The sequence below is a fragment of the Homo sapiens genome, chromosome 3, assembly GCF_000001405.40.
Source record: "Homo sapiens chromosome 3, GRCh38.p14 Primary Assembly".
In the NCBI taxonomy this organism is placed as follows: Eukaryota; Metazoa; Chordata; class Mammalia; order Primates; family Hominidae; genus Homo; species Homo sapiens.
Window position 1 is genome coordinate 20,113,942 of NC_000003.12, and position 18,777 is coordinate 20,132,718.

Here is an 18,777-nt window from a genome sequence, read left to right on the forward strand (position 1 = left end):
AATGAAGAAGACCACTGATAGCTTCACCACTCTGAACTATTTTTAGTGCTTTTAGTTATTTCTGTTTTTCTCCCATTTATTGGTGAAAAAAATTCAGTAAGCCTCAGAGGGACTTAGGTATCTGTATTTCTTTTCTCTTTTTTTCTCTTTTAATTTTTTATTCTTTTTAAATCACCTGCCCTATTCTGATAAGCATCTGTATTTCTAATAAGGTTTCCAGATGATTTCTATGGGTTGCCAAAACTTGAGATCCATTTAGTTTAAAGTTAGCATAGTAATTAATCACTGGTTCCAATCCTGATCCTGCCATTTACTAGTTGTGGGAATTTGATCTAAATATTTCACTTCTCTGTGCCCTAGTTTCTTCATCTGTGAAATGGGTATGAATTTTATCTCATAGGGTCGTTATAAAGATCAAGTGAGTTAATATACATCAACCACTTACAACACTGCCTATCATGTAGTAAGAGCTATATATGTGCGTGACAAATAAAAATAGAATATATAACTCATAGGGTTGATGTGAGGATTCAGTAAGAAGTTCTTAGAGCAGTGCAGGCACAAAGCAAGCACTCGATAAATATTAGTAACTTTTATGATGGTAATGACAGTGACAGTGCAGCTATATGGAGGGCTGAAATCGTGCTCTGAGATTCACTGAGGAAGATTAATGCATTTCTACTGATGTAATTCATATGTCTGTATCCTGTGCTGTGTTAAGCTATGCAGGGTCAAAAGAGTAAACATTTGTATAAATGCATTTCTGTATTTGAATATACCAGGGCTGCCCAACTAAATCATAATTTGAGTTGTAATTCTCCATTATATTTCTGATTGAAGGTTTGAGACGCTGATGTTAAGGTGATTGTCACAGATAATTAGGGCTGTTATCCTTACAGTAGTTTTTTTTTAATCTTATTGCTATTACTCTTGTGTCTAGATTTCTGTCCATGCTAGAAGAAGAAGTATATAGTCAAAACTCTCCCATCTGGGATCAGGATTTTCTCTCAGCCTCTTCCAGAACCAGCCAGCTAGGCATCCAAACAGGTAAGTTTCCTTTTACATGAATCAGAGAACAACCAGGGAGGCCAACCTGAAGTGTAAGTTGCAGTTCACTGCAACTTATACTTAGCTCTATAGTCAAATGAGCTTAGCTCTATAGTCAAATGCTGGCTATTTTCAAACCCAATTATAGTCTCAGTCGATGGCTAGATACACCTAGGAATCAAGTCTCAGTCTGACCTCTTAATCTATGATGTCTGTTTTATACATCAAGTTACCACCAGGTATAATGGTGGATAGTGAGTGAAAGCGGCAGTCTTGAGTCTCAGGATGTGAACTACTTCCCTGTGGGGCAGGGCATCCTTGCTATTGCTTAAATCAGCCAGTGGCATCAGTTGGCATTTTGTGAGGAAGGAAGACAGATGCCTTCTGGAGTCGCAGTGATCCCAGAAAGAGGATCTGAATTCCTGCCTTTGACACTAGGAAGACTCCATGGAGAGGTTTGGCAAGAAATGCCAAAGCAGTTTATATCTGGCCATGGGGAAAGACAGGATGCAAAATTTTGACGTCAAGAGTTTTTTGTAGTGCTCTAGGTCAATGTGTATTATGGGGGCTTGTGAGTATTGCCTCTAATGCCTCCAGCAAAGAAAAAATGATTTATTCTTGCTTTAAAAACAAAATTGAAGTATAATTTATATATAGTAAAATGTACTCTTTTTACTGTACTGTGTTTTGACAAACACATATACTTGAGTAATGACCACTGCCATCAAAATATAGAACAGTGGCCTCCTTCCAGACAGATTGCCTTGTACTTCTCTATAGTGCATTCATAGTCCTACCTCCAGCTCTGGGAACCAGTGATCTGTGTTTTTGTTCTTACAGTTTTGCCTTTTCCAGAATGTCATAGGAGTGGAATCATATAGTAGATAGCTTTTTGAGACTGATAACTTTAATTCAGCATAATGCATTTGAGAGGTGATTTTTGAAAAAGGTTTTCATCTGAACCTCAAGTTTAGGTGTAAATATAACTAAATCCCTACAAACCAAAGTACTAGTGAATGAGGAATTTTATTTGAATCATACTCTTTTTGTTTGAGCTCATTACCAAAAACATGTCAAAAACATCTTTGTGTCCTTTTTTTTTTTCTAACCTGAGATCGTAATTTCATGTATCTCTGGTCCAAAACCTGTAGTGCTTTGGGGCCTGTCTGTGCCTATTACATGTTTCTTCTACAGTTGAGCAGTTAGCATTTAGTGGACATGTTTTCTGTGGTTACTGGACATATCCTTTGCATTGCTCCCTCTGTACCTGTGCTATTCACTTTACCTTGGATTTGATCTCACCTAACTTTCAAATGGCATTTCTTCTGCAAACTCTTCCCTAAGTTCTCCCATCCCCTCTAGCAAGGACTGGATCTCTTTTCTTCCAGACTTTCATAGAGCCTTGAATATATCCTATCCATGGTTCTCAAACATGGCAGCACAATGGAATCACCCATGGAATTTGAAATGCACTGTATACTGTTTTCTGAGTGCCATTCCAAGAGAGTGTGAGATTATTGTCCTGGGGTGTGGCCTGGACATTGGGACTTTTAAAAAGCTCCCCAGGTAATTTTAATATGCAGCAACATTTGAGAATGACTGTGTTAGACAATTCTCACCTCATATTATCCTAGCCCCTTTTTTTCTGTATGTCTTTTCATCTCCTGTGAATGCAGCTTTTTGATGGTCAGAGACCCAGTTTTGTCACAATAATTGATACATTTATTAAGTGCTCAGCTAAGATGCTTCCTTGGTATCTAAGCCTTTTCACAAACCCTGGGAAGTTGGAATTATGATCTCCTTTACATAGTTGAGGAAATAGAAGCTCAGGGAGGAGCAACAAATTGCCCAAGATAGACCTTGTAAGTGATGGAATTGGGTTTCACATCCGTATCTAATTCCTAAATATTACACTGTATTAAGAGAGCCAGAACTCTAACCACTACATCACACCATCTTGGTGTGTGCTGCCAATATACAGCATACACTTGTGGAAGGAATGAGTGAAGAACAGTTTCCTCCCTCAGGCAGTGGGGGACCAAAGTTATTCAGCAGGATCAACATAGTTCTCCTGTGGTGGGTCTGTGGAGAGGATTTCTGTGTGTGAAAACTCCCCTTGACCCTTGTTTGCTCAAAATTCTCCAGTCTGCTCAACTTCCAGCCACATTGTTATCTGTCATAGTACAGGATGGAGAAGGAAGAGGTTGTTGCCTGTGACCCTATGGGAATTTTATTCGTTTTTCTGTGGCTAAGGTTGTCACCAAGTTAAGTTGGCGTGTACACTTTAGTATTACCTGAAGCCATCAGAAGTGGGCTGTCTTCTCTTGTTCTACTGTAATTGCAATGTGTTCTCTTGGGGGAACAGAAGAGTGTAATCATCTACTTAATTAGCATGTCTGCGTATCGATGCAACTGTGATAAATGACATTCATAAGGATGAACCTGAAATTTTACAAGATACTCAGATGTCTTCTGAATCACCAGAGCTTTCTCTTTGTTCAGAATCACTCCAGTATGCTTTGAAATTCAGAAGGCCTATATATTGGGAGAAAAAAACATAGAGCCTGGCACTTTAGTATATTCTGATTTTTGACAAACCACTGGCTATTCAGTTAGAAGTGCTATGGGTTGGTATCTCTCTTGCTTGGTTTACTTATTTTATTGCCTTCTTGGCTGCTGGGAATGTCCTTGTTGACTGAACTGTGGCTGTGTTGAAACGTAGATGAACGTTCTCTCTGACAATTGTCTGTACTGCCATGCTGTGTCCTGTATGTGACCAGTGTTATTGAGAATGTCTGTACCCCTTGTCACCTCTCACCTCATCAGCTACCAGTCAGCAACACAGCTAGCAAAGCAGCATCCTACTTTGTACAATGGCCTTTTCTAAAATACAAAATAGTCCCTTTTTGTTTGGAAATACTGTCAAACTCACAGAGTTACAAGAAGAGGACAAAGAAATCCTGTATATTTTCAGTAGAGTTACAAGAAGGTGACAGAGAAATCCTGTGTATTTTATATGCTTTACCTGGTTATAAACCAATTGTTAACATTTTGCCATCCTTGCTTTATTATTACCCTTTCTCTATCCCTTCTTTTTCTCTTTAATTCTCTCCACTCTTCCCCTAAGTTATTTACATGTATATATAAAAAAAAATTTAGGAGAAAAAAATTAAATATATATAAAATATATTATATAGTTTAAATTTATATATAATATACTATATATTTACATATGTAAATATGTAAATATATTTACATTTTTACAAAAATATGTAAATATATTATTTATATATAAATAAATAATTATTTATATATAGGTATATATATTTTCTCCTAAATTTGTGTGTGTGTGTGTGTGTGTGTGTGTGTGTATGTGTGTGTATATGTATATATAAAACTTAGGGGAAGAGTAGAGAGAGAGAAAAAAAGAGAAAGAGAGCTATATAGGCCAGGCGTGGTGGCTGACACCTGTAATCCCAGCACTATGGGAGGCTTAGGTGGGCGGATCACCTGAGGTCAGGAGTTTGAGTTTGAGACCAGCCTGCTCAACATGGCAAAACCTCATCTCTACTAAAAATACAAAAAGTAGCTGGGAGTTGTGGCAGGCACCTGTAATCTCAGCTACTCGGGAGGCTGAGGCAGGAGAATAGCTTGAACCGGGGAGGCAGAGGAGGTTGCAGTGAGCCAAGATTGCACCACTGCACTCCAGCCTGGGCGACAAAAGCGAAACTTTGTCTCAAAAAAAAAAAAAAAAAAAAAGAGAGAGAGCGAACTATATATATAATATATATATTTATACGTTATATATAAATACAAATATATATTATATATATTTTTTCTCCTAAATTAGTTGAAAGTTACAAACATCATGCCCCTTTAGTAATTTTGATGTCTCTCATGTATTCTCTAACATAAAAACTATAGTTTTCTGTCAGCAAATGTAACATTGATATAGTATAGTTACCTAAGCTATATGCTGTCTTCTGTTTTTGCCTCTTGTCTCAATAATGTGGTTTATTGCAATTTTTCCATTGCATCAGGAGGCATATGATGTTGGCTTGTCCCATCATTGTTGGTATTAAGTTTGATCACATGGTTCTGGTGGTGGTCACCAGCTTTCTCCACTGCAGTATTACCACCTTTCCTTTTTAATCAAAAAAATACTTTTGTGGGGAGATATTTTGAGACTGTATAAATATCTTGTCTTCATCAAAATTATACTCACAGGTTTTAGCCTACACACATGAACTTCCCCAAATCAGTTATCATATGGTGGCTGCCAAATAGTGATTTTTTTTTTTTTTTTTTACTAACTACCATAACTCCGTCCTTATTTCTTTGTTGGTGTTCTTGAGCTTTTCTCATCTCCACTAATTTATTTATGTATTCATTTATTATTTTATCAATATAGACTCAGATATCCTTATTCTATTTAATGAGTTATAGTCCCTGCTGTCTTTACTATTTTGATGCCTTGTGGCTTATGTTTTAAAGATGACTTATTTTGTGGCATTGGGCAGGAGTGGGGTGGTCCCATGTGCACTTCGTTTCTTGTTACCTAAGAAAGGAGTCAGTCATCTAACACCTTCTTCTCCTTTTGCCGGGGCAGTTATCAATCCACCTCCTGTGGCTGGGACAATTTCATACAATTCAACCTCATCTTCCCTTGAGCAGCCAAACGCAGGGAGCAGCAGTCCTGCCTGCAAAGCCTCTTCTGGACTTGAGGCAAACCCAGGTAAGCTCTTAAGAGGGGATAAGAGAGGGCTGTGACTTGCTCCAGGAGCTCCATTACCTGAGGAGTGCAAAAGGTAGACTTGAACCAAGTACAGATTGTGCATGTCCAGGATTTTAACAGCTAGAAATAACTTTGTATTAGGCTTTTGGCTGTACTGGTTAGTTATTGCTATCTTAAAACTGTAATAACTTATTGTCATAGCTCACTCATTTGGTGTGTTGCCTGAGAGTTGGCTGATTTCAGCTAGTCTCACTCAATCTTGGCTGGGCTTGGTTGCAAGTTACCCATTGATTATAATCTCTGTTTTGGGCTTGGCTTGGCTAGAGCACTTAAGCTGAAGCAACTCTGCTTCACATATTTCTCATAATTTTCCTGGGACTATTGGGCTACCCGGAACATGTCCTTCTTGTGATGAGAGAGGGCAGGAAGAAATACACAGTCTCTTGAAGCCTAGGCTTGGAACTTGTAAACCATCACTTCTGCCACATTCTTTTTTTTTTTCCTTTTCTTTTCTTTTTATTTGAGACAGAGTCTCACACTGTCACCCTGGCTGGAGTGCAGTGGTGTGATCTCAGCTCACTGCAACCTCTGCCTCCTGGGTTTAAGTGACTCTCCTGCCTCAGTCTCCTGAGTAGCTGGGATTACAGGTGCCCACCATCATGCCCTGCTAATTTTTGTATTTTTGGTGGAGATGGGTTTTTGCCATATTGGTCAGGCTGGTCTCAAACTCCTGACCTCAGGTAATCTACCTGTCTCGGCCTCCCAAAGTGCTGGGATTATAGGTGTGAGCCACCATACCCTGCTGACTTCTGCCTCATTCTGTCGTCCAAAGCAAGTCACGTAGTTGAACTCAGAGTTGAGAGGTGGAGAAGTGGAAAAAGGTAGTCTATTCCTTTCGTAGGAATAACTGCAAAGTCACATAGCAAAGAGTGTAGATACCAGGAGGGTAAAGAATTTGGCCATTAATGTAATCTACCACATGGGCAAAAATATCTCTTGAGCCTAGAAGCATTTCACAGTTAGAGAATGTTTTGAAGGTTGCATTTCTGTCCACAGACTTGACGTCAGACAAATCTTGGATGTGACCAAATTTTTAAATAAAAGAAGTACCATGAAAGAGGGAAAGAAGAGGACCTTATAATATAAGAAGTGCCATATATTTAGCATATGCCACCATTCCCTTTCACTTCCAAGGGAGATATCACTAATTCATGCAGAAACTCTTTACCAGTGAGCTTGGATTCAGCCTCAGACTTTTTAAAAAAAATCATAAACACCATTAGCAGTCTAACAAGCAGAGGGCATATCAAGTACAAACCCCAGCTACGAAATAAATAGTTTTCAGCATTACTCTTAGGGAATCATGGAATTTGAGGACTTATTGGTCAGATGTCTGAAAATATTGTTACTTGTCTCCAAAAACAAACAACAAAAAATTGTAAAAAAAAGAACTCGACAAAAGTGATTTAGTAAATAATATGTAATACTTCTGGAAGAATCGTCTACAGTCAAGTTACTTTATACTGTTCTGCTCCTTTTCAACTAGAGATAGTGAGAATGCTATGTGGAGAATGTTATATTGAGATAGCAGTGGGATTCACATGTGAGGAAATAAATTAGATCTAGACATCTTAAAAATTCAAAAAATTTACTTGTAAAAATAAATACATGTTATGTCTGGAAAAAACTGGAAAAACCAAACATGAGAATAGAAAGGAGAAAAAAACTACCATGCAATCTCATGAGGAAAGCGGAAGAAAGTTCTCTCTGCCTTTGCATGGCTCTCCTATTGTGTGGAATGGTGAGATTGCATCTACTTGATAGGCTAGTGGTCCTGCTCACTTTGTGAGGCATCATTTTAGGGCAAAAAAGCATTGTAAAAGATAAAGTGTGTCATTTTATAATAGAAAATTAAATCCATAAATTTGTTTATTAAAAATAATTTATGGTATATTTCAAATATATAGCTATATATACATAATATATATGCATACATACACATATGCATATGTGTGTGTGTGTGTGTGTGTGTGTGTGTGTGTGTGTGTGTGTGTGTGTGTATAGCCAAGCCCAGCACAGAGATTCCAATCAGTGGGTAGACTCATGAACAAGCCTGCCAAGATTGAATGAGATGAGCTGAAATCAGCCACCCATCAGGAAACATACGAAATGAATGAGCTATGATAGTAAGTTATTATGGTTTAAGACTCATTTGGGGTTGGTTTATTACATAGCAATAACTAACCAATAAAGCCCAAAGCCTAATGCAAACTGATTTCCGTACATATATGGTGGGGTGCCGGTGGGGGCGGGGTGGAATTAACATGACTACAAGGAGAAATAATCAAATCAACCAACGGTTGAGGCTTTAAACAAACAACTGAGTAATTCATAGGTCAAACAGACAAAAATATCAGTAAGGCTCTTACTGATATCCATACAACATGATCTGTAAGCTGAAGCTAATGGAGTTATAGAGATCAAAATATGAAAATACACATTCTTTCCAAGAAGACACTGCACATTTACAAAAGATTGGTCTTATTTTAGGTCATAAGGTAAAAATTTCAATCCATTTTGACGTTTTGGTGTCATATGGACCATGTTCTCTGACCTTGAAGAGACTATATTAGAGAGTACTAACAAACAATAGCTAGAATCACCCCTTTGCATTTGCAGATGAAGGAACATGTGCCTTAATATTTCATGTATCTAGTTAAAAATCATCATAGAAAGTAGAAAATATTCACAATGAATTGGGTTGGCAGTTATTGTGAGCTCACAATGGCTCTCTTTCCTGTCTTCCTTTGTCACCCCTTCCCCTGGTGGTAAAGATAGAGTTGACCTCCATGCCCATCAATGCTGTTAGAAAATTAGTTGGCGTGTATTATTTGTTTTGTGTTTAGAACCACCCATTGTTTGCCTTTTATTTTGATCATCATAGGAGAAAAGAGGAAAATGACTGATTCTCATGTTCTGGAGGAGGCCAAGAAACCCCGAGTTATGGGGGATATTCCGATGGAATTAATCAACGAGGTTATGTCTACCATCACGGACCCTGCAGCAATGCTTGGACCAGAGGTCAGCAGGGTAAACCTGGGCAGCCAGCTGGTAGACCTCTTCTGCTCTCCTGGCCACTCCAGCTGTCAGAAGTGGGGATGCTAATGCTGAGAGTTAACATGTTATGCTACCCTGGTTTGCATTTAACCTGGTGGTCAGTGTGGAGAGGGCAGGAACAACTGATCAAGAGGTAATTCCCCTTGATGAATATCACATCACAGGTCCACTTACTAATAATCTCACAGTTGAAGGCATCATTCCCAGCTTTTTATCTTGAAAAATTTCAAGCCCTCATAAATGTTGCAGAAATTCTGTAATAAAAATCCATAGACTCTTTACTGAGATTCAGCAGTTAACATTATGCCACATTTGCTACCTCTCTTTCTCTCTGCGCCTCCCCATATGCTCTTTTTCTTTCTCTCCCCACTCCCCATGAACCATTTGGAACCATTTCAGAATTAAAAACACATGTCATAATACTTCACCCCTAACTATTTTTGCATGTACTGTATCTCATAAGGAAGCTATTCTCTTACATAACCACAATGCAGTCATTACTCTTAGAAAATTTAGCCTGGTTACAATATTTTCTAATACAGGGTTGGTGAATTACAGCCTGCAAGCCAAATCTGCTCCACTGGCTGTTTTTTTCAAATAAAGTTTTATTGAAACATATTGTTTGCAGCTGTCTTTGCATTACAACAGTAAATTTGAATAATTGAGACAGGGAATGTGTGGCTTGCAAAGTATGAAATATTTATTATCTGGCTTTTCACTGAAAAGTTTGCTGACCTCTGGCCTAATATAAAACCGTATTTAAATTTCCCATATAGCCAGATGATGTCAGTTATAACCTTTGTTGTTGTTGAAGGATCAGTTAGGGATTGTGCATTGCATTTAATTCTTATCTCTTCATTTGTTTAGTCTCCTTTAAAACAACTCCCCAGCCTTGTTTTGGTCTTTTGCAGCACTGCCATTGGTGAAGAGTCTTGGTCGCTAGTTTTGTATAAGGTCCCTCTTTTTGGATTTGTTGATTGTTTACTAAGGATTAGATTCAAGTAAGGCATTTTTGGTAAAAATGCTGCTGTCATCTCATTGCCTTGCATCTGAGGGCATGCAAGGCAATGACATTTCTTAAGACATACCTGTCTTAAGACATTTCTGACAGCTTCCAGGAAATGAAGAAATGGCTTGGAGATTATATTACAGTGTTAATTTTCAATTTGTCATGTTTCTTTAAATATTTATTTTATGACATTGAGGATACTTCAGAGAACCAGAATGTTGTAATAGAAAAATCTCTTCCTAAAATTGATCTTTCCATTTCCTCCTAGATGTCCAGTCTGTGAGGGCTTAAGACTATAGTTTTTTAGGGATTTAGTAACATTACAGATTAGCTGAGTTTAGGTTTTTTTCAGCTATAAAATGGGGATTTGTACTAGTCTATTGCATTGCTACAAAGAAATACCTGAGACTGGGTAATTTATTTTTTTAAAAAAGAGCTTTAATTGGCTCACAGTTCCACAGACTGTACAAGAATGGCATCAGCATCTGCTCAGCTTCTGGGGAGGCCTCAGGGAACTTATACTCATGGTGCAGGGTGAAGTGGGAGCAGGCACATCACATGGTGAGAGAGGGAACAAGAGAGTGAGGAGGAGGAGCCAGACCCCTTTAAACCACCAAATCTCATATGAACTAACTGAGCAATAACTCATTCATCAACAAGGGGATGGTGCTAGGCCATTCATGAGGGGTCTGCCCTGATGATCCAACACTTCCCACTAGGCCCCACCTCCAACATTGGAGATTGCATTTCAGCATGAGATTTGGAGGGGTCACACATTCAAACTACATCAGGATGCAGTCACATGTTTGAAAATATTTTGGATATATTAATATTTAGTAGTGTACTAGAGCTGGCTTGTACTGGAATGCACAAGAAAATTGTTAAATTTTCAGGAGTTTTGTGAGCTGGTTGTTCCATATGTTGGTAGCTTGAAGTTGACTAGCATGGCACCTGGTTACCTGGATAGCCAGTTCTGGACTAATGAGATGAAGTGTCACCAGTTAGGGCCTTCCTTCCTTGAAGAGCTGTTTGTGGAGCATCTACTTGCAAACCACTAGGCAGATTAAATAAGATGGGGAGCATAAGTGCTGGCACATGGTTGTGCTTCCAGCTATGGTTGAGTGTAGGTCAACAGATATTCTCTGGAAAGAAAACTGTTCTTTAAAAAGAGGTGTTAAGAATATATACATGAGGCCGGGCGCGGTGGCTCAGCCTGTAATCCCAGCACTTTGGGAGGCCGAGGCGGGCAGATCACGAGGTCAGGAGATCGAGACCATCTTGGCTAACACGGTGAAACCCCGTCTCTACTAAAAAATACAAAAAATTAGCTGGGCGCCGTGGCAGGCTCCAGAGGCTGAGGCAGGAGAATGGCATGAACCCGGGAGGCGGAGCTTGCAGTGAGCTGAGATAGCGCCACTGCAGTCTGGCCTGGGCGAAAGAGCGAGACTCCGTCTCAGAAAAAAAAAAAAAAAAAAAGAATATATACATGAGTGCTACTATTGGGCCTGTAATGAGAATTTGAATCTGTCATCTCAAGGGTCCTTAAAGCTCAGCTGGAGAGGATTCCTTGAAGCCAGAGGTTGGCAAACTATAACCCACAGGCCACATTTTGTCTGCTTACTGTATTTTTAAATAAAGTTTTATTGGAACAGTACTGCACCCATTCTTTAACATATTGTCTGTGGATGCTTTTGCATTATAGCAGAAGAAGGAGTAGTTGTGACAAACACCTTATGGCTCACAACGTCTAAAATATTTTCTATCTGGCCCTTCACAGAAAACTTTGCTGGCCCCTAATCTACACTGAATATCATCCGTGTACACATATAATACTCCAATTTCTCAAAATGCTTTACCTGCCTTTTCTGTCTTGTCTTCATAACTTGTATGTGTATGTGTCTCTGTGTGTATGTGTGCACACATGTGTATTTAGGACTCTGAAAATCCACAAATGTGTATCTTATTAGAACAAAGATGAGAAGCTTGGATGTGTCCCATCCCCACTGTCTTGAGAGAATAGCTCTGTGTAATTTTTTCCTGTCTCTTGCATCTCAGACCAATTTTCTGTCAGCACACTCGGCCAGGGATGAGGCGGCAAGGTTGGAAGAGCGCAGGGGTGTAATTGAATTTCACGTGGTTGGCAATTCCCTCAACCAGAAACCAAACAAGAAGATCCTGATGTGGCTGGTTGGCCTACAGAACGTTTTCTCCCACCAGCTGCCCCGAATGCCAAAAGAATACATCACACGGCTCGTCTTTGACCCGTAAGTGGTACTTTCTGTTCCTTCTTCCTTATTTCCTTTTTAAATGAAAGAGGAACTGCTTAGATAGTGAAAGTCAGCCATAGTCATCCACCGAATACTACTGCACCTGTCTTGCTGTGGATACAGAGCTTCACCAAGCTGATTTTCATGTCTGAAAGTGCTAAGAGTAATTTTCAACAATTTACAAATTTTCTTGTTAATGATGATGAAACTTTATATTTTACATTGCTGATGACTCTCCTGTGCTTCATTCTTTATAGCAGTGAGAGAATGTAACACTAAGATGTTCTGCTTTCTTCATAATCAAAATATTGGTTTTGGTATCTTAACTAGGTGCCATTATTGCCCAGGTCTGTGGGCAATTATTGGGATATAAGACAGGTTAACTTTGAAAATCCATTGCTTAAAAAAAAAAAACAAAAAACTAGGCCGGGCATGGTGGCTCATGCCTGTAATCCCAGCATTTTGGGAGGCTGAGGTGGGAGGATCACCTGAGGTTGAGAGTTTGTGACCAGCCTGACCAACATGGAGAAACCCCGTCTCTACTAAAAATACAAAATTAGCCAGGCCTGGTGACACATGCCTGTAATCACGGCTACTTGGGAGGCTGAGGCAGGAGAATTGCTTGAACCCAGGAGGCGGAGGTTGTGGTGAGCCGAGACCGTGCCATTGCACTCCAGCCTGGGCAACAGAGCGAAACTCCATTTCAAAAAAAAAAAAAAAAAAACCCACGAAACCCTAAAGAACTAAACTTCTCTAATTGAATTTATTTTAACATACATAGCCCAGTAGCCTATGGGGACTGTGATCCATGCCTGTGACAATTCAGAGTGATGCTTTAGACAGAGGGAAGGATTCCATAATGCGGAATTTTGCAAATTGTATATGTAAATTTTAAATTCTTTTTCATAATGTTTCTGTAATATTTTGGAGTAAGACTTAACTCTTCAGAGACACATACCATGTTTGTCCATGACTTCCTGCTCTCCCTGACCCCTCCTTGGCACTGGCTGTGCCAGTTCCAGAGCACCTCTGCACATACTCTGTTCTCTATTTGTAAACCTCAGGCACTTCTTAGGTGACTGGTATTTTGTTCTGATGGGAGTGCTGATGACATCTTGTGCAGGCGACCTAGCTCTAAAAAGTTCAGATAAAAGGATGGTCTAGCGAGATAGGGGCTACATGAAGGAAGTTTCTATAGAAACTTAGGACATGTCCCTCTTTCTTAGTTGGTTAATAAGGAACACCCCAAAAAGTATATTTATATAACTAGGATAGGTAAAACTTTGACATAATCTTATTCTTTCAGGAAACACAAAACCCTTGCTTTAATTAAAGATGGCCGTGTTATTGGTGGTATCTGTTTCCGTATGTTCCCATCTCAAGGATTCACAGAGATTGTCTTCTGTGCTGTAACCTCAAATGAGCAAGTCAAGGTAAGGGTAAACCCAAGGTCTTAGAAGAAGAGCAGAATGTGGGGCTTCTCACTAAGGCCTGCAGAGCTTGGGAAGATCTCTCTGTGCCATGTCCAGAGAAGGTTCAAAGTGGAGTTAAGGACTTTCTGGGAATAGTCCTCTCACTCCAATGGTCTCCAACCTTTTTGGCACCAGGGACTGGTTTCACGGAAGACAATTTTTCCACGGGTCAGATTAGGGCTATGATTTTGGGATGAAACTGTTCCAGCTCAGATCATCAGGCATTAGTTAGATTCTCATAAGGAGCATGCAACCTAGATCCCTTGCACGCATAGTTCACAATGGGGTTTGCACTCCTATGAGAGTCTAGTGCCACCACTGATCTGACAGGAGGCAGAGCTCAGGCGGTAATGCTCACTTGCCTGCCACTCACCTCGTGCTGTGCAGCCCGGTCCCTAACAGGCCACGGACTGGTAATGGTCTAGGGGTTGGGGACCTCTGTCTCACTGTGAGTGTATGTGTATGTGTGTGAGGAGAGTAAGTGGTTTCACCTACCAACAAGTAGGGTTGTACCAAGGCTTTGTTGGACTTTGGGGCGAGGTACCAGGATACTGTACAAGTTCAATATGTAACTCAAGTGTAGTCGATAGCAAATGAAGGGATATTTGAAAAATAGATCTCAGTGTTCATTGTTAATTTACACATACACGCAAACATGTAATCACAATTAGTGACACTGAACTACTGGAAAGGATATGGTTAATGTGGATTAGAAAGATGATTTAGGCAGCTTACACTTCAGAAAGATTTCTTATGACCTTGTCCCTAAGGGAAAACAAGGACTAAGGAAATTCTTTAAGGGAAGTCATGAAATTCTATAAGGGAAGTCATGTAAATTTATGAATAAATTTCAGAAGTTATTCCTGTAGGGTTTGGCATGTGTTGGAGTGTCTTTTTGTTTTGTTTTGTTTTTTTTTGTTGCTAATTTATCTTCCCAGTTGTCTTTGGCTTAGGTCCCTTCCTTTCCAGGAACTGTGTCCATGTTTTATTGGTATTGCAGTTGGTGTCGCAGTCTGGCGAGAATAAACCAGACTCTGAATTGACAGAAAGAGCTCTCATCTATACCTTGTCCTGTTCTACTTTCTTGCTTTTAAGAAAAGGGAACCAGAAAACATGTCCTTAGAATGTTATTCATTTAGGGCTGGGCAGTGGCTCACACCTGTAATCCTAGCACTTTGGGAGGCCAAGGTGGGTGGATCTCCTGAGATCAGGAGTTTGAGACCAGCCTGACCAATGTGGTAAAACCCTGTCTCTACTAAAAATACAAAATTAGCTTGGTGTGGTGGCACATGCCCGTAGTCCCAGCTGCTTGGGAGGCTGAGGCAGGAAAATTGCTTGAACCCGGGAGGCGGAGGTTGCAGTGAGCCAAGATCACAGCACTGCACTCCAGCCTGGGCAATGAGAGCGAAACTCCATCTCAAAAAAAAAAAAAAAAAAAAAAGAATGTTATTCATTTAGGATTTTCATGGGTGGACTAAAGATTAGCAGCTCCGGATGATTAAGATGGCTGCTGAGAAAAATTATTGGAAGGTCTAAAGCAATGTGTCCAATAGAAATATAAAGCAGCCTGCAAATATGAGGTTATAAAAGCACACATATTATGTGCTTTTAAATTTTCTAGTAGTTATATGTATATATTTTTAAAAAAGCAAGTGGAATCCAGTGAGATTAATTTTGGAAATTTATTTTACCCATATATCCAAAGTATTAATATAACTGCAACAGGCATTCAATGTCACGAAGAATTATGGAGACCTTTTACATTACATTCTTTGTTCTGTACTGTCTTTTTTTTTTTTTTTTTGAGACAGGTTCACACTCTGTTGCCCAGGCTGGAGTGCAGTGGTGTGATCTTGGCTCACTGCAACCACCGCCTCATGGGTTCAAGTGATTCTCCCACCTCAGCCTCATGCGTAGCTGGGAACTATAGGCACATGCCACCATGCCCGGCCAATTTTTGTATTTTTAGTAGAGATGAGGTTTCGCCATGTTGGCCAGGCTGGTCCTGAACTCCTGACCTCAGGTGATCTGCCCTCCCTGGTCTCCCCAAGTGCTGAGATTACAAACATGAGCAACCACACCCAGCCTTATACTAACTCTTTGAAACCAAGCATGTATTTTACATTTATAACACATCTCAATTTAGACAAGCTGCCTTTCAAGTGCTTGATAGGCACGTGTGGCCAGTGGCTCCTGTATTGGACAGTGCTGGTCTAAGTATTTTGTTGACTCCTTCAGCTTCAAAGAAGCAATACCATTTACAGAAACCAAAAGTAAGTCCCTGAAAGGAATCATTCTCTGCATTAGGGGCACAGCCTGGGCTATTGGTACTTTAGCTTTCATTAACAGCTTCACTCTCTGGTCACAGTACCCATTTTTTAAAATTATTATTATTATTATTATTATTTTGAGACAGAGTCTTGCTCTTTTGCTCTGGCTGGAATGCAGTGATGTGATCTGCTCACTGCAACCTCCGCCTCCTGGGTTCAAGTGATTCTTATGCCACAGCCACCTGAGTAGCCGGGATTACAGGCGTGAGCCACCACGCCCGGCCTCAGCACGAATTATAGCTGCTGCAATGTATTTATTCTCACAAAGCACAAGTGGAGCTTTTTGTCTTCGACTCCTAGCACTAAGCATCAAAGGGCAAATGCAATTCAGCAGTCTTACATTCATCATTCTGACTGGGGAAGGTGAAGACCCACATTTGCTTGAAACTGATCTCTGGCTCATTTTCAAGGAATTCTGACAGTGTGTCTTTAGATGGTGCTGTTGCTGTGTTTATCATTATTCTCCGCTAGCCAAAGTGACAAATGTCCAGATGTTTCCAAATGTTCAAAGTTTAAGAACTTACTTAAAGGAAAATTTTATTTGGCTTTTCTTAGGGTGAAGACCTGGAAAATATGCCCTTGGTTTGTAATTTTAGAAAAAGATGGCGTAATTTTTATTTTCAAAGATAGCTATACCAAACACCTTGTTTGGAAATGCTGATTAAGGTTGAGTTGGACACTTTTAGGGATACTAAAGGGAAACTGAAGGTATTTAATACGAATTGGATACTTTGTCTTATTACTTCCCAGAAAGGCAATTCCCCCCCATAACCATGTAATTTTCTAAAGACTTGAAGGAAGGTGGCCAAGCATCACAAACTCAGAAGGAAGAACAAGAAAAGCAATCACTTCTTGTAAGTGACTTGAAACTGTAGTTTTAGAAAATGAAGATAATGAAGATTAGTCTTTCAAAACAAAATAGAATGGATGAGTTTAGTGTGTGTGTGTGTGTGCGTGCATGTGTGTGTTTTTTAATGGTAAGAACGTGTGTGTGTGTGCATGCGTGCGTGTGTGTGTGTGTTCTAATGGTAAGAACCAATCTTTAGTAGAAGTAAGAATGTGAGAAACAGTTCTTCCTTTAGTTTCCTGGCCTTTTTTTTTTTTTTTTTTTTTTGAGACGGAGTTTTGCTCTTGTTGCCCAGGCTGGAGTGCAATGGCGTGATCTCGGCTCACTGCAAACTCCGCCTCCTGGGTTCTGGTGATTCTCCTGCCTCAGCCTCCCGAGTAGCTGGGATTACAGGTGTCAGCCACCATGCCCGGCTAATTTTTGTATTTTTAACAGAAATGGTGTTTCATCACGTTGGCCAGGCTGGTCTCAAACTCCTGACCTCAGGTGATCGCCTGCTTCGGCCTCCCAAAGTGCTGGGATTACAGTTGTGAGCCACTGTGCCCAGCCAATTTCCTGATCTTTTTACTGTCCTGTGTCATTAATGATTAATGAACAACTTTTGAGACATCACACTGCCCAAGATATTTACATTTTCACTGGCGTATAGTCTAAGATAAAGATTGCTGAGCTCTGCCAACCCAGCAACACTAGACAACATGGAAGCACTTCTTCAATATGGAGTAAAACTGAATGGGTCCCAGTGGCTATAGCATATATTACTGAAGACAGCAAATTCATAAGCAGAGGTTTTATTTTTATTTTAATTTTTTAATTTTTTGAGATGGGGTTTTGCTCTGTTGCCCAGGCTGGAGTGCAGTGGCATGATCACAGCTCCCTGCGTCTGCGACCTCCTGTGCTCAGGTAATCCTCCTACCTCAGCATTCTGAGTAGTTGGGATCACAGATGTGCACCACCATGCCTGGCTAATTTATTTTTTGTAGAGATAGGGTCTCCCTGTGTTGCCCAGGCTGGTCTTGAACTCCTGGTCTCAAGAGATCCTCCCTCCTTGGCCCCCCAAAGTGCTGAGATTATAGGCGTGAGCCATTGTGCCCAACCATAAACAGACGTTTTAAGTATTTATTTACTATATTAAAAATCTTGGCTAAATGGCACTTTAAAATCTGTATATGGTCATTTTGGAGAATCATGCTGATAAATTCCTGTGAATTCTTTAAATTAGATTTTTATGTGGATTTATTGTGCTGAAAACACAAGATAACATATGAGAATTTATTTGAAGCTCCTCTCCTGATTTTGGAATATCCTGTAATCTAAAAACAATTTGGGCCAGGCGTGGTGGCTCACACCTGTAATCCCAGCACTTTGGGAGGCTGAGGCGGGCGGATCACCTGAGGTTGGGAGTTTGAGACCAGCCTGACCAACATGGTGAAACCCCATCTCTACCAAAAATACAAAATTAGCTGGGTGTGGTGGTGCATGCCTGTAATCCCAGCTACTCAGAGGCTGAGGCAGGAGAATCACTTGAACCCAGGAAGTGGAGGTTGCGGTGAGCCAAGATTGTGCTATTGCACTTCAGCCTGGGCAACAAGAGTGAAACTCCATCTCAAAAGAAAAAAATATTGAATTTGATATTATATACAGCTTTAAAATTATGTAGCTAATGTTTATTTACCATAATAGGTATTTAAATAAACACTGAAGTTACCAGATAGTTAGAAAATGATCCTTTTGATGGCAGGTAAAAATAAAGGTGTACAAACAAGGGGAAATAGGTCTGGGGTTAAAATCTAAATAAACATTTGCTTATAATAGCTTTATGTTGTCACTGCCTCTCTAACCAAGGCAGTACTTAAACTACCATGACTGCTAGTCACAAATACTAGCTAGATACAGAGGAAGTTCAAGTTAAAAGACACAGCCCTTTCTCACAAGCAACTTGGAATCTGGAAA

The 18,777-nt window shown here is 39.9% G+C and overlaps 1 protein-coding gene across 3 annotated transcripts in view, besides 1 other annotated feature; it reads left to right on the forward strand.

Annotated features, from left to right (window-relative positions):
• KAT2B (lysine acetyltransferase 2B) overlaps positions 1 to 18,777 on the forward strand; it is a 113,959-nt gene that overhangs the window by 73,496 nt on the left and 21,686 nt on the right. For all 3 annotated transcript variants that reach the window (XM_047449147.1, NM_003884.5, XM_005265528.5), the window contains 5 exons: positions 941 to 1,047; positions 5,657 to 5,782; positions 8,727 to 8,863; positions 11,964 to 12,172; positions 13,482 to 13,608. In XM_047449147.1, coding sequence (XP_047305103.1) covers positions 941 to 1,047; positions 5,657 to 5,782; positions 8,727 to 8,863; positions 11,964 to 12,172; positions 13,482 to 13,608 — 706 coding nt within the window. The remainder of the gene's footprint in view (positions 1 to 940; positions 1,048 to 5,656; positions 5,783 to 8,726; positions 8,864 to 11,963; positions 12,173 to 13,481; positions 13,609 to 18,777) is intronic.
• Positions 12,080 to 12,159: an enhancer, noted in NCBI's record as "active region_19583". NCBI's record gives its function as "activates an Ori minimal core promoter by ATAC-STARR-seq in GM12878 lymphoblastoid cells {active_cell/tissue: GM12878}" and the evidence as "EXISTENCE:reporter gene assay evidence [ECO:0000049][PMID:35858748]".